The sequence below is a fragment of the Homo sapiens genome, chromosome 5, assembly GCF_000001405.40.
Source record: "Homo sapiens chromosome 5, GRCh38.p14 Primary Assembly".
In the NCBI taxonomy this organism is placed as follows: domain Eukaryota; kingdom Metazoa; phylum Chordata; class Mammalia; order Primates; family Hominidae; genus Homo; species Homo sapiens.
Genome location: NC_000005.10, coordinates 88,872,600 through 88,888,977, shown reverse-complemented (window position 1 = coordinate 88,888,977; position 16,378 = coordinate 88,872,600). Strand labels below are relative to the sequence as shown.

The 16,378-nt window shown below is 34.8% G+C and overlaps 1 protein-coding gene and 1 long non-coding RNA gene across 60 annotated transcripts in view, besides 1 other annotated feature; one reads left to right on the top strand and one right to left on the bottom strand.

Annotated features, from left to right (window-relative positions):
- The window catches only part of MEF2C-AS1 (MEF2C antisense RNA 1), a 584,252-nt gene extending 578,604 nt beyond the window's left edge, over positions 1–5,648 (bottom strand). For all 3 annotated transcript variants that reach the window (NR_136218.1, NR_136219.1, NR_109941.1), the window contains exon 1: positions 5,493–5,648. This is a non-coding gene — a long non-coding RNA (MEF2C antisense RNA 1). The remainder of the gene's footprint in view (positions 1–5,492) is intronic.
- Positions 1–16,378, top strand: part of MEF2C (myocyte enhancer factor 2C) — a 186,989-nt gene that overhangs the window by 15,128 nt on the left and 155,483 nt on the right. For 20 of the 57 annotated variants that reach the window (NM_001364333.2, NM_001193350.2, NM_001364344.2 and 17 more), the window contains exon 1: positions 5,794–6,023. The gene's annotated coding sequence lies outside the window, so the exon portion shown is untranslated. Of the gene's footprint in view, positions 1–1,379; positions 1,477–4,441; positions 4,490–4,551; positions 6,024–7,955; positions 8,055–16,378 lie in introns of those variants that run through there. The other 37 variants (XM_017009478.3, XM_047417190.1, XM_047417181.1 and 34 more) reach the window with 5 other exon arrangements.
- Positions 4,687–4,736: an enhancer, noted in NCBI's record as "active region_22766". NCBI's record gives its function as "activates an Ori minimal core promoter by ATAC-STARR-seq in GM12878 lymphoblastoid cells {active_cell/tissue: GM12878}" and the evidence as "EXISTENCE:reporter gene assay evidence [ECO:0000049][PMID:35858748]".

The following is a 16,378-nucleotide window of genomic DNA, read 5'->3' as shown; positions in this document are numbered from 1 at the left end:
GAAAATCCATTCCTTGAATTGAAGGTTTCTGTGATATTTCAAGAAATGGGATAGAATCAATGTTCTGATGAACAACATTTAACAATTTTGTAAGTAAAGGTAAAGTCGCATTAAATTTATTCATGCATGTGGTTATTTTTGAATCAGCCACACACTTGCAAGCAAATTACTGATCAAGCCTTATTTGGACATACTGATTACAGGAAAAGAAAGAAATGTATCATAATTTGTAGTGTCGTTTAAAAAAAAAAAAAAAACCTTACCATACCTTTCAGATGTTATTTCATGAAGATTGCATTTCTATAAGGTGAATAGGCCCTGGGAGATGTGTATTATGATTCTCACTTAATAGACTGTAAAATGAAGCACAACTGGAAGAAAGAGAACTCACCAAATCACTTGGTAGTGACTACAAGACCAAGTTTGGACTCACTCACTGTGGGCCTAAGCCTAAAAACCTAAACTCAACTAACACCCATAAAGTAAAACTGGCCAAAATTTTTCATTTCTCTTTGACTCTGAAGCAACTTAAAAATAAACCTCAGAGATGTCAACCCAAATATAGAGGCTTTATAAATGATTCTTCACTATGCAAAGTCCTCCTGCTATTACAAATGGGAAAAGAGATATTGACCATCCTGGTCTGATGTGTCTCAAGGCTGGTTCTCTTTCTGGGACTAGCCTCAGTCTGAAGCCAAGGAAAGGTTCATTTGTGTGCACAAAGTCATGGAAAGCCAGACTAAAACAGAAATCAGAACACAGGAGCATTTGTCTGTGCTCAGTATAGTTAAACACTGCTTGGAAAAATAAGGTATTATTGGTAATAGAATTTATAAACCGTACTGAATACACATCACTAATCCCAAAGTATTTTAAATTGGCCTTTAGGCAATGCATAAAATAAGCCCTTTCAGTAACCTCAACTGCATTGCAAACATTTCCCGATTTGACAAATTGTGTTAGCTTCGGATATAATGGATTTGACATTCTTCTGTAATTCTCTATCAGATATAAAACTGAAGGTACAGAAATACAGATAAACATAGAATCCTTAGATATGTGTAAACCTTGTCTTGAAATAACAAATCCTTTGTATATTGCAAATTCTCAATCACAGACATTCCACATGCTGTATATTCTTCTTGGGTTAATGCTGCACCTAGTGAATTTTTGAAATTTAGATATTTGGCACTATTTATGTTAAAGATTATTATCACAATGCATGACAATTTCAGTTGTCTTATATTCAAAACACTTTGGTTTAAAATCAGAATATTGTTACTTCAGATTAGAAGTTTTAGAAATAAATCTATTTGAAAGTATTTTCATATCAGCATTAACAAAATACTATATACTGTTTTGCACTTCCACATTTGAAGGTGCCAAAGAAGAGTTGCAAACTGTGAAGTAACTTCTATGAAGAGATGAAGTAAAGAACGGAAGGCAAATGATTGTGGCAGTAAAGAAGTGTATGTGGTGAGTGCTCACATTTGTTTTTATCATTTACCACAGAGTTACCATAAAGGTAAAACTGCCAAACTCCTTGGCCTTAGGTATTTACAGAATAGACGTGTATAACAATAATAAAGAGTTAAATGACCACCATACACTTTATATTATAAGCAATGACATATCATTTTGCTTAAAGATCATGTCATCTTTCAGGGCCTACTTTTGCAAGTACTGTATCTTATAAAATTAATCTATTTCATGGGAAGTCCTGTGTATCATCAATACTATAATTAGACAAAGATTAAAATATGTAATGCTATTGGAATTTGTGTTTCACTGCTTTTTAGATTTTTCTAAACCACCATGTTCACTTATCATGTTTGTGTTAAAAGTATTCTGGCTGAGGAACAAATACTATACAGTTGAATAATCTTAAGGGGTACATTAATCTATAGCCTTTCTTCATCTCAGGGTGGGTTGCTGTGGCAACCGCCCCAGTTCACTTTAAAATAATTTTTAAAGCTCACTTCAAGAGCTACACCCAGCGTGGGCCAGGCTTAAAAGCAGGCAGACCCAGTGCACAGGGCTTTAGTGGACCGCTGCTTTAATGTAGGGAAGTAGTGAAGAGAGGAGGTTGGAGTAAGATGGTATGCAGCTCTGAACAGAAATTGCAATATTAGCTTTCCCTGGAGTTAAAATCCCGAGGAGCATGCTCTCTGTAACTTCTATGACACTTTAATTAAATATATTGCTAAACATAATTCTTTTGAGGGAAAAACAAGTGACTCTATATTTACATTAACAATAAAGCATTTACAACTTAATGTAGGAGAAATATTTGGTGATTAGAAAAAAATAAAAGCTGGTACAGTAGTACATCAATCCCAGACATAATTTTCTTTTAAAGGAATTGTCACCTATTATTTAACTGGATAGACCCTACCTTCCAATTGGTTTAAAGGGTAGAAACATTTTCTGTTTTCCAATGATAGAACTGGAATAGGTTACAGAACTCATTTAACACATAAGCGAACTGAAGCCTAGAAAGGACAAATCCCTTAGTAAGGCACAAATTTTGAACTAGATAGAGAATCCAGGTCTCCTGACACCTAGTACAAGCTCCTCCCTACATGAGAAAATAGTCTGATCCTAACCAAGTATCATTAGATGGCAAGGATCAGGATGATTTTAAAGAAAAAACAAAAACAGAAACAGAAACCAAAAGTCCAGAAGTATTTAAAGAATACAAAGCACACTCTGGATTAACTACTTTGTGGATTACTCATGAATAATTTTAAATCTCAGGTGATTTTCTAATGTATATTTCTTCATATCTCTTCTGCTTCAACTGTAAAGGCTCATGGGAAGAAAACTAATGGTAATATTAACTTAGGTCACACATAATTAAGAAGCTAAATCTGCTGAGGGGAAAATCCTGTATTTTAAAAGGCCAACTGTGATACATTCCAGATCCAAATTATTTTCAAATTATCCAGTGTGGGGTTATACTTATTTTTGAATGCTTGCAGTATCATTAATAATTATGGGTTTGTTATAATGGGTATTATTAAATAATTATTTAAAATATGAAAAGGTAAAATAAAATAATTTCTTTTTGAAAGAACATCTAAAACTGAAGTGTACTGTGGTAAACAGAAATACCCTCTATAATTCATTAAAAACAGCAGGGCTGAAATTCATGTATTGGCTATGTGTTTGCTCATGTCAAATAGACTGTTGTAACTCACTGCATTAATTTTAGGTATTATGGCAATAAACTTAGATGGTCCTTCAAATGCTTTGCTTTTTCAGGACCTTCGTGAATCTTGAAGAAAATTAATTTTATTTTTACCACCATATATAGACATATCTTAGTATTCGAAATATCTTTGCCCTTTAAATTTTTGGATTTTCAGAGAAGTTGTACTTTGAATGGAAACCTGATACAGATGTTCTCTGCCATATTATTAAAATGAATTCATGGTAATGGCAAACTCAACATTTGAAAAACCGGCAAACAAAATACATTGTAAATACTAATCTGCAAGAAATACTACTATTTCAGATGGTTTTTGCTTTGTGACAGTTTGTGATGCATTCCTATAATAAAAGGGAGGGAATGGTCTTAGTTTTGCTGATAGTCACAATGATGAGCTGGAACTTGAAGATTGTTCAGATCTAGTTGTACTTGCCTATAAAATAAACCTTCCCCTTTCAAGTGAAGCCTTGGGACAGTTGCCTAAATGTTGAGGCCACTCTTCTGAGAGAAGCTACTCACATCAAATACCTCCTACATTGAAGCAGGAGGCTTTTTGAACCATACTGTCCTCATATATTAAAATAGTCATCTGGAGGCATATTGCTGAACTTAACAGGAAATACAACTAGTCATTGGGTTAAACGTAGTGCTAAAAGGAATTTTCTAAAGTGAGGAAATCTTTAGTTAGCTAGATATTTCAATATACTATTGTCTAATCTCATATATTCCATGTTCTATTAATTTTCCCTTCTTGCTTTCACAATATTTTTTAAAAAATAGTTTGGTTTAAACATTTTATGTAATCTATAATTCTACTGGCATGCAATCTTGTCTTTTCATGATTCTATACTAGTTGATGTATTTTATCTTTGGCTTTATTGGGCATGGTATATATTAACAGTTGGTTAGGGCGGGAGGTGCCCAATCTCTAGTAGCCTAAATATTAAAGCCTTTTTTTTTTTTTTTTGTAAGGAAAAGTGTTTATCATGCTTTAACCTTAACATAAGTATCCTCCCTTATCAGTCTCTATTTCTGCTTCCTGTGCAGCTGAAACTCTTCAGGATAAGTGAAGTCATCAGCTATCGGCTAGGGTAGCCTAATGCATTTGGGAAGTTGGTTTGGTTTACATGTTAATGACCTGGATGAAGTCCAGTAAGGTGTGGAAAAGATAGAGTGGGGGGAGGGGGGGAACTCCGAGGAAGCTGCTTCCTCGGTAAATATTTCCAAACTGATTAGAAAGTTCATGGCCCCGCGATGAAGTCGAGATCTCAAATACTGGTAATTATTTTATTATTTCGTACATTACTAACATTAGAGAAACCTTTCGGCTCGCTTTCTAGCGCTCCAACCTCTCAGGGTGAAAACCGCGACTTCTGGGCGTGCAGGAAAAGCACGCTGGAATCGAGTGCTGCAGACATCCTGGACCGTGGTTTTTACGCGTGAGTAACGGAGGAGCGCACCGACCGGTGGAAGAGAGAAGTGGCTAACGCGTGTCCAAAAGGGGGAAAAGTCACAAGAGCAACTATTAGGGTCGCGCTCCTATTGGTCAGAGGAAAGATCCCGACTTTAGAAGGACTTTCCTGCTGGCTGGCTCGCAGCGTCCCCGGAGAGCAAGCGAGCGCGCCGCAGCGGGAGACTAGGTTCTCTCCGAGCGTCCTCCGCAGAGGCGCCGCGAGAGGAGCAGGGAGCCGCAGCTCGCCGTGTTGTCTTCATTTCGTGCAATAAAGAATTGTCATTAGGTTTGCGTATGGCATGTGCTATTACCCCACCGTAAAACTAAAATTAGCAAAATGTCAGGAATGGAAAGATTGATTCACCAAGATGCAATTATCATTTAAAAGTGCTTGATTGAGGTACTGATGTTCAGTGATTTATTCTGCATACCATATACATAATTAAAGTAGTGTAGTGGAGTAATTTATCAATCTAGTTGAGACTGGAGGGGTGAGGAGGGAGCTGCTGTATGTTTGTTTTATTAAAATGCTCCGAGGTCTAGTCCCGCCCCCCTTTTGCAAGAGTGAAACTGATGATTTCTCCAGCTCGCGAGGAAAGAGTCAACGGTTTGGGATTGTGGGGGAGAGAGAGACGGAGAGAAAAAGGCAGCGCGAAGCAAAGGCAAGGACAAAATTAAATAAAGGGGGAAAAAAGGAGGCAAAAGACATTTCATCGGACGTGCTGCTTAGAACCCCAACCATTCGTGCTCCGTCTTCCCTACCACCCCCGCCTCCCCTCCCAGTATCCTTCAATCCCCCCCGCCCCCACCACCCCCAGTCTTTTTTACGCGATGTTTCAAACGCTGTGAGCTGTTCTCCTTTTCCCATTCGTCTTCTGTCACTTCCTTCCTGGACGCAGTTTTCTGGACGAGTCTGGTTACTTTTAATCCGACCGGCCGCTGAGAGCCACTTTCTCCTCCTCCTCCTCCTCCTCCTTCTCTTCCTCCTCCTTCTTCCTCCTCCTCCTCCTCTTCCGAGCGGCCTCGGCGCGCGCGAATGCGCGGCCCCGCGCCCCCCCCCTCGCGCGCGCTCCCCTCGCGCGCGCGCACACACGCACACATCGTCTCCAGCTCTCTGCTCGCTCTGCTCGCAGTCACAGACACTTGAGCACACGCGTACACCCAGACATCTTCGGGCTGCTATTGGATTGACTTTGAAGGTTCTGTGTGGGTCGCCGTGGCTGCATGTTTGAATCAGGTGGAGAAGCACTTCAACGCTGGACGAAGTAAAGATTATTGTTGTTATTTTTTTTTTCTCTCTCTCTCTCTCTTAAGAAAGGAAAATATCCCAAGGACTAATCTGATCGGGTCTTCCTTCATGTAAGTACCCCTGATATTTCTCGAGGAAATAGAAAACCCGGGTATTGTCTCTAAAATCTGCATCAATATATTCCACGGCACTGTGTCTATCTATCCCTGTGCCTTTTTTGAAGGCTGAAGTTGAGGCTCGTTGTGCATTCTTTTTCGTTAGATTCCATGATTTCCTTGTTTGTTGCTAAAAGTAACTTTTTAGATAGTCGTATCCGTTTGCCATCAGCTATTGAAATCACTCCTGACTCGTTCCTGTCACACCAGTGTATTTAAAGTTTCATGAAGTTAGTTCACGTCATTAGCATGTTTGATATGGTGGAGCGTGTGGAGCCTGGTGGATTTTAATATTTCACAGCATGTTCTGTGACCTTGAAGTAGACGCCTTAAGATTTAGCAGTTAGTTCACTGTGGAAAGATGCTCCCATGAGTCCCCCCAAAGACACTGATTTGCCCTGGGTTATGCTTCTGAGCCACTAATTCTTGGGATTAGTTTGACCTAAAGCATGGCTGTCTGTCAGAGTATACCTTTGTGCATTTCCTTCCCTCACCAAAGTGCCGGCTTGACAGAGGGCTTCTTAATTGGTGTGGACAAAAAGTAATATCCCTGCCATAGTAGTCTACACATTTCACAATTCACGTTCGATTTCAGCATATGGATTGCTGTTCAGGTCAAGTCAAATACATAGCTGTTTAAAAGCAAGCAAGGTTAAGTCACTTAAATTGCCTTCTCTTTGGACTTGGAATGAAAGTTACCAAACTCGATGATAAAGTTTGTCACAAAGGAAGTATATATAGATGTGGCACATTGTTTATTTTATTATTAAATATTGTGGAAGTATTTAAATTTAATGCTAATGTTACCTTCCTTCCCTGAACATGGCTATTGCTTTTTAAAGGAAATTTTATATCTGAATCACTTCTGACTATTCTAAGTCCAGTAGTTATCATTCTTTGGGGAGAGCCTTTTTTTGTCACATTTTAGGAATGCGTGTCTTTTGTATAAAATACTTTATATGTAAATGCTGACAGTAGACTAAGTAGAATTGGGCTCTCTGCCAGTTCCTTAACCGGTCCTCAGTGGAGAATTGCTTTGACACAAAGTGCGTTTTACTATTGTGAATCTGAAACTAACTCTAATAGTAACTGTCTTATGAAATGCTTGGGGACTGCATATAATTTCTAAGTGCTATAAAGGAAACTCCAGCCACCTCATTATACCAGTCCAAAAAAAAAAAAAGCGACTAGCCTACTTTCACTGGCACCTTGCAATGGAATTGTGGTTGCAGAGTAAAGATGTTTATGTGGAGTATAATAACTCCAATCCCTAGAGACTTGGTAGGACATGGAAATGTGACCACCTGTGAACCCCGTTTAACCTCGTATTGCATACCAATTTTAGCTTTAAATAGATCAACAATCTCTAATTTGAAACTAAAACATCTTATTTAATTTTAAAAAATGTCAGTTTTGGCTAGTCTTTAAAAACATTCAGCATGTACCAATATGGTATAAGCAGTATTTTTGTTTCTCCATCAGTTTCAACTAAAGATAATGCAGTTAAAAAGCCATATTATTGTCTTCCAGTGTATGCATGAAATTAAGTTAAAAGAAGTAGTTCTAAAGCAAGACTCAGAACTTGATAGGTAAAATGAGATGTCCCTATCTAACATCCTATTTCAAGAGGAAAGAAATATTTTAAATCAAATATCTCATTCTATTTGTAGAAAAGTACATTTAGCTATGTATTCTGCTACTAACTCAATTCTAAAAGTTTTCATCAAAACAGTCTTTAAACATAACATTTGCTTAAAATTTGGTTCTCCCGTCAAAGAGACAGTAGGTGGCTGTTACCTTTACTTCAAATTTTACTAAATTTTATAAAAACCTACTATTTTTATTAATATAATTCACACAGCATTCGAATGTTTGACTTTTTTTCAGACTTCTTAGGAAAGGCAGCATTTTACTTCATTCATTAATTGCACCATTTACGTCCTGATTGCTGTGCATGTGGAATATATTGAAAGATAATATTAAAGTGTAAGTTTTATTAAATGTTAATTTGTTTTTTATTTCAATAACAAATGAGCAATTTATAATAAAAACAGTTTTCCACCTTTTCTGAGCTATTCATATTTTAAAAGTGTGCAATCACAGATATTAACTTTTCAAGAGAGAAGCACATTAATACTAGATAACTCCATGAAACTTAGATAACAAGAGGCACTTTGCCTCTTTTCTTCTTTGTAAACATGTTCATTTTGAAAAATTTGGGGGAAAAGATACCTGAAATTTTTTCCTTGGCCCTAACTTAACGGAATCAATAAATTCCATAACACTGCAAACGTATCTTTCTAATAAATACTTTATTTAAACTTCTTTTATAAAGAACAGCACTGAATAACTCCTTAGCATATCTTAACATTATCTTTTAAAACTTTCTTCTGTTTATTGTAGTATATTTTGTGGTTTTATTTCTCAACTCTAAAGTGTGGTATAATTTGAGTCTATGAAATCTCAGAAAGTGACAAAAATGGGGAAATAGCTGTGCAGCAATACTTGTGCTACATAACAACAAAGACATAGTTATTAAACAGAATTCTGGCTTTGGGGACATGATTCGAAGCAACATAGAAGAATTTAATATGCAATTAATGGTCACAAGATGAACTGTTAAGAGATTATTAATAAAGTTACACTTTTTTTTCAAAAGCACATCCTCTGAGAAAATACCACACAAATTAATATCTAAAACTTATCAAAATACACGTATTCATTCTATACTAATGTGGTGATTGCCTAGACACGATGAAATGATTTAATCACTGTTGTTCCATCAGTATGCTGCATGTGGAAAGACAGGTAATTAAGATCCCCGTCCTTAGCACTGTACCTTAATCTTATAGGCGCGTGGACTGTCTTGCACTCAGTAAAGCTTGACTGTTCACCGAGATCTGTCACCTTTAGGAAATCAAACCAGATTACAGAGGTGATTCACAAAACCAGGAACAACAGAGTCTATGCACGTTACAAAAGGCAGATTACATAGTTCACATGTTATTTTGATAGGTCAAAGATAAAAGCTGATTGTTGAGGAATGGCAAGACACTCAATTTCAAATGATTGCTTAGATAAGCATACTTTGACCCTGTTGCTTCATCATTATGATCCATTCAAACAATGGAAAATTCAGTTTTCAAATGACAGGCTTTCAGTAGTGAAGTAAGAGAAAACATGTCCTTTTTTATGTATGTCTTCATTGTGTAAATTTTAAGTTCCATCATTTCTTTATGAACAAACATTAAATTGTCTGCTTACATGAAGCAGGTATTGTAAGGCTTAAATGCATTAGACATTTTCAGAGGCGTTATAAAGAGCACAAAACAGAATTTGCCAGAAATAAAACATACACTCATGTTATTGAGTAATTCAGCAGAAAATGCATAATAGTCAATATCCATTATGTTATTCTGTTACCAAATATATTCTACATAAAAATGTGTAATTACATAGTTATGAATCCATATATGTGAAACATATCTTCATAAAAGTTCATTGGTCAAATTTTATATATATATATAATATATATATTTCATGAATGTTATATAAAGATCATTCTTTACAACAGAATATGATGTTTTGAGAGTTTATTTCAGAGAATAAAGTTTTGGTTTACATAATAACATTTTGAAAATCTTAACTTCTTACACACCCAACTTTACAGTAATTTTTTGCTTCTTCTAAAATTGAAGTCCTTTTTTACCCAACTGATGCCTCCTAGTGTTTCACACAATAAAACACTAATGAGTCACCCATAAATGTAAACATTGCATTTTCATTGCCTACATCATCTGTGATACATAAAATTAATATTTATGTGTTTAATTTTCTGTGCACTATTATAATAAGATAGAAAATTTTAGTGAATGAGATGTTTCATCTGAGTGGATTTGTGGCACGCACTTGCAGGTTTTCTTTGACCATCACAATATCTTACTAAGTTTTAACAAGTTTATTACCTTCAGTTGCAGTTATATATTCACTCTTTATATTCACTCTTATTTCAAGTGAGAAACATAGGTAAATAACAAAGCTTTCATTTTGTAGGCCTGGGAATTATACAGTTGGGTTCATTCTGAAATGCCTGATAAATTGCACAAGGACTATCCATTTCATTTACACACTAAAATATCTTAAAAGAGATATAATTTTTTTTCCTGCTGTGTCTTTACACTTGAAAATTTCTTTGTAAAAGTGGAATAAAGAAAGACTATTTAGAAAAGATAAAATCAAAGATAAATGCAAAATTTTCTATAAATATGGAGTATATTTATTAGAAAATAACAACAAAAGAAAAACTTTCCTTGGAAGGAAACATATTATTCTACATAAAGGGAAGTCGTGTTAGAACACAATATCCAATGACCAGCAGCTTGCCTTAATGAGGTAGAAGTTAGTGGGTGCCAACTTTGGTGTGAGTTTTCTGCCATTAGGATGGTAAGCGTAGACCTGTGATATTTTTGCATGTTTGTGATTTCAAACAGCTCTCTGATTCTACTTCCTAAGTTTCTAAATGTTTTTTATCCAATATACTTATGAAAGAAAGGGGTCATTCCTGTAATGGGTCTTAAATTGAAAGGAGGCCATCAAAAACTTGTAACATTCATGGGCCTCTTCCTGAGGTGTCATACAACATACCTGTACACAAAAACATTCATGAGTTTCTTCTACTAACACAAACATTCTATAGCATCCAAGTGTAGACACTAGATTGAACTTCATTCTGTATATGTGTCATTTAGTTCTCCTGACTCAAAATACACAGTGTATTAACAATATTTGACTATCACTTAAGATTTTCTAATTTAGTCAATAATACAGTGCTATTACAATTGTTGGACACATTTCAAAGAATGTAAGGGGGTGTGTTCCTTTCGTTCAAGGAAGCAAACATGTAGAAAGGGGTGGACCTTTCCCACAAGAGCCACATTTCTTCCCTTGGAGAATTGAAGCAAATATGCAGTACGTAAGTGAATAGCAGCATGAGAAAGAAAATAATTTGCAATGATCTCCTATAGTTAGTGAGCAAAGAAAATTGTCAGTTTTTTTTAAAGTAGCTCTTATTGACAACCTATCTTAAACTGAATACTGAAAAAAAGTCTATGAAAGTTTTATAATTTCAGTATGTTTTAACATTCATGCGTGAAATAACTGTAAAGTACACTGTAATAATTTTGGTCTTGCTCAAATCAAGAATTTTTTAGTAACCATGTTATTTTACAGACAATATTGAGGCATAACAAAATAAAGGGTGCTGGAAGCATTCATTCCTTACCCCTCTCTTTTAAGAATACGAAGATGGCATTGATGTTCTTTTGTTATTTTTGTCTGTGAAAGAAAAATAATTAAAGAATGTTCTATGACAAAGAATACCATTGTAAAAATAAGATTATAGAAAAGGTTATTTAATATACTATTATCTCACATCTCCTTGATACTATTTTAATGTTTACTGCAAAAAATCATATTCCTATTAAATATGGAAATTAGGTGATACATGTTATACAAATTTATGGTTTAGTTTTAGGTGATATGAGTAACATTTATTTGTCATCGCCATAATTCATTTGCTGTACATTGTCATTTTATTGTACAAGTTAAATCTTGGTATATATTTTTAAAATACAGCCAATGTAAACAAAGTTCAAAGTACATGAAGAGAATCTTTTGAGGGCATTGAAAAGGAAATTGACGACATTACAAGCAATAAAAACAGTAAACATATTACAGGCAGATTTCTTCAGGAATCATTACTCTTAAATAATGCAGACATTATAAAGACTTTATTAATTCTTAATGCTGTAAATTTGAAATGAATGGAGCAATGTTGTTCCTCCTGCAAGTGGTTGGGATTCATGTAGAATGACAGTGCAAGTCCTCAAGCAGTGATTTAAATTAAGTACCCAAAACTTGTTTTTAGAGGCTGGAGGAACTAACTGATCTTTGAATCAGTCCCTTTTGAGAACCTGCTTTTTCCAAATAGCATCATGAGCGTGGTGGTCTGGTTTTCCTCTTCTATCTTGTTGTCATAGATAAGATGCACATGAAGAATTCATATAAATTGCTCTCAGATACTATGGATTCCTAGCATATTGGATTAAAAAAGAAGTGGATATGGTCCTTCGATAGAATGTGAAGTGTTTTTTTAAAAATCAGCCAAGAACTATGCCTGTCTTTTTTTCACACCTGTGATTCTTTCAGCAAGTTAGAAGGATAGCAAGAGAATGTGCATCCTTCCCCAAACCCCGAAGACAGGCAGCTTTGGCTTAAATATGCTTATTTATTTTCAAAATTAGAAAATAAACACATTAATGTAAATATGTTGAGACAGACAAAGAAATTTGTCTGCTACTTAATAAACACGCGATTTATACTTTTTGTCTTCTAATTAATTGTCGACCCTGAATAAGGTGGTACAACTAAGGCATATTATGGAAAACTGGCATTATTGCTTAATGTAACATGAGGGATTGGAATTTCTTTAAAGTAATTTTAAGATATGATTATTTAGCAGAAATATTCACTGGAGCATTTTACTTTTAGAAATTATCGTCACACAAGGAAGCCTTTATAGGACCGACTACCTAATTGCAGTCAAAGATCTCTTGAATGAATGAACACACACACACAGAAGAACACACATTTTAAGAATATAGTGGTCCTATATTTTTAAAAATTTTTGCCACATTTTTTATATCTGAACAGAACGTATGTGTCTAAGCAGATGTTTTAAGTTATATCCTTCATGTAGGTGAGTCTGTAAATGTACCATTTAACTTAAATGGCTTTGTGGGAAGGTAGTTTGAGGAGTTTAAAAAGGAAAAAAAAAAAAAAAAAAAACTCCAGTTACTACAGTTTCAGCTCTTTCTTTTTAAAAAACAGTAATTACACTCAGGATAAAGAAAGAAAAATAAACTCTTTTAATTCTTTGTAACATCCACAGTTTTTCAGGTAGAGTTCTGGTATATTTTTATTCCTGAATATGCAGGGCAGGTACTGGCAGCAGAGCTACAAAATGAAAACTTCCTGGCTGCAGACCAGATACTGTGCACAGTGCCACATCATAAACTTCCCCTCTTCTGTCTCGGAGTGATTTCAGCCCTAACTAATGTCCTTTATTTCCCCCTACATAGGGTAAGGAACAGAGGGCCTTCTTCCTGGGAAATAGGGGAAATACCTTTGGGAAAGGAAAAGTATAATGTTTCCCTTCTTTAACTTGAAAATTCTGCCTCTTAAATTACTAAGACATTAACTGCAAAGTGGATTCAGTATGTTTCCTTTTTATTCCCATATAGCAGTTTAGAATACATAAAACAATAGGTGTGAGATAGAAAATGAGACCTCTTCCCCACCCCCTACCTCCAGCACACCCAGACCCAATCAGATATCTGTACTTTTTGTTTCGAAAAGAAAAATATAATGGTTTCTTTTCAATGAAGCTTGTGCATTATATTCCAGATATGTTAGATCATTTTGTGATGCAAATTAGCATTGAGGTTTTTTGTACTTATCTCGGGAAATAGCAACGTTCCACCACAATGTGTGGTGCTGCAAAAATTTTTATTGATAAACACCCACACTTTAAATGATTATTAGGTCAAAATAGAGAGTACAGGGGGAGAAAATGTGAGCTTTTAGTTTTCAGATTTGTTTTATGCTTTTCATTTGAAAGGTACAGTGTAAGTTCTGTGTATAATACCATGCAAAATAAATTGACTTCTAAATATCTGCACTAATATTCCTTGTATCTGAAACTATAGTCTAAAAGCTTGTACTTCTCCTTAAAAAATAAAGTAAAACTTTGTTAAGAAGCAGGCTTTAATTACCAGTTACATTTTCAACTGTTACCCATGTGATTTTTAAAAAATCCTATTAAAAAATAATTTCTAGCTGCCATGGCTCCTTTCAATCAGTAGAATTCTCATTTGTATGAGGTGCAATCAGATTATTGCCAGCACACCTTTCTAAAACTAGCCTTCTTCTTTAGAAATGTATTAAATGGGAGCCTTCAGGAGAAAGTGTTACCACTTAATAAATATTTGTTCTAATTTTATTTTTAAACTAAATTATTGATTTAACAGTATATGAATAGTGTATAAATGTTAGCTTAGTTGTTAACCCACTACACTAATTATTAATTGCCTATATGAAATTTACCAAATTAGACCAACAGTTAAGTGTAATTTAATTTTATTTCTCTTGAAACTTAAATAGATAAGAATGATAATTTTAATTATGTTTAAATATCAAGCATTTATTTTTCTGTGAATGCAAATGTTCCCGATAAATTGTTAAGAAATTAATACAACATAGATCTTAAAAAATGTATAAGGCAGCTTATAAGAATATGATAACAATGGCATATTCCTACACCTGGCACTTTTTCAAGACCCATTAGCAAGGGAGGAAAAAGATGTTAAACTTTGTTTTGTAAATGCTAATATATATATGAGTCAATACTTTCTGACATTTATTTGTTAGAAAATTACACACATTTAAAAATTCAAATTAAAACTATGCTTCTATTTAGGCTATTGTAAGAGATTTCTTTATTTTCTTGGAAATTCTCTGGAACAGTAGGGTCATTTGAATCATACCCGTTGGTATTGTCAGATACATTGTAAAGTTTCAACTATTGAACATATGTATGGAATAGAAATTTTAAAATAGAAAATTCGCTATCTTGCCATTTAAGTATGATAAAACTATACCCGATTAAAACGTTGACTCTATTAGAGGTTCGCCTAGTAAGTAATTCTCTGGTCAAGAATTTGGGAAATTTTAAACTCTGTTAACCATTAAAACAATTACTTCTTTAAGGTACCGGATTTTCATCCATATTTGAGGAGCCTTATTAAGTTGTTGGGTGGTCTTTTTGTAAAGGTTTATGTGGTTAAAAAAGTAGATCTTTTCACCCTTCTATTACAGTTAACATTAATATCTTTAAAAGGTACTATATAAATCCAGACCTAATTTATTCTGGATGATTTTTCTTAACTAAATGAAATCTAACAAATTTGTCTATTTTTAAGTGAATCTTTTTTTTATTTCTAGTATTTATTGGAAGTTCACTTAGACTCTATATAGGTTAGAAGTTAAAGTAAATAATTTTGACTATTTTTTTCTTTCATTTCATGTTTGAATATTTCCCCCTTTACATAAACCAAAAAAAAAAAAAAAAAAAAAAAAAAAAAATCCGTGACGACATTGATAGATTTGCAGAAGGCTGAGTAAGATACTCAGTACCCATTAATTGTTTCCCTATGACTCTTGGGTTGAAATGAATCGGCAATATCCCTTCCAAGACTGTTTGATCTTGCTTGATTTAGAGTGAGCGTTATGTGATTTTTTCCCTCCGCTTCTCTCATTTTATAGCTTCAAAAAAATCAGAGAATTCTTGACTTCAGTGTTTTTTCCTTCCGTTTTCATTGTTTTTGGATTCTCTCCTGTCTGAGCTTCCTTCTTGCTTCAAAGTATTTGGTATCGTGAAAGCAAGTGCACTTTTAACTTGTTTTGACTACACATGGGCGACAGAATTGTTTTAGATGCTAACTTACCTCCTTACACTTGAGAAACTGATGTGGTTCATCACAGCCCAATGCCATGTCTTGAAACAACTGCGGACACTGATCTTGAAATAGCCAGGGCTATAGGATCATGTCTTTGTAAAGAACAACAGCAGCTTTAGAGTCACTGGATGGTATATTCGTTGCAAACATGAACAGCTTCATGAACTCCCAGGAAGTGGTACAGTTATTGGACAAGGTCAACCACATTATGCCTTTTAGGTTGCTCTATGAAGTAAGTGTTAGACCAGAACTCCAACGGTGTGAGTGTGTGTGTGTGTATGTGTGTACGGTGTGGGGAGCATCGGTGTGGGAGAGCAGAGAGAGAGAAAAAGCATGAAAGGATGAAGATACACTCTCGAGAGAGAAGATCGTTTAAACAAGCATAAAGAGTTTGGAGACTCCATTTCCACACTTAATATCATTTCTTTGATTCTACATATTATGCTATTAGACAAACATGTCCATAAACAATAAAGAATAATGATTAAGAACAACGACCAAAACTGGGTTCAAAAGCCAGCCTCCCATTTACTGATTAGTGGTTTTAGGCAGGTGTTTTAATGACCAGAAAGCCCCAGTACCAGGATCTGTAAAATGGGAATTATAAAATCACCCACCTCTTAAAGTTTTTTAAGGATTTACTAGGATAATACATATAAAACCGTAATGCAGATACATAGTAAATGATCAGTAAATATTAAATTATTATCATAGCATTGTACTATATTTTAGTCA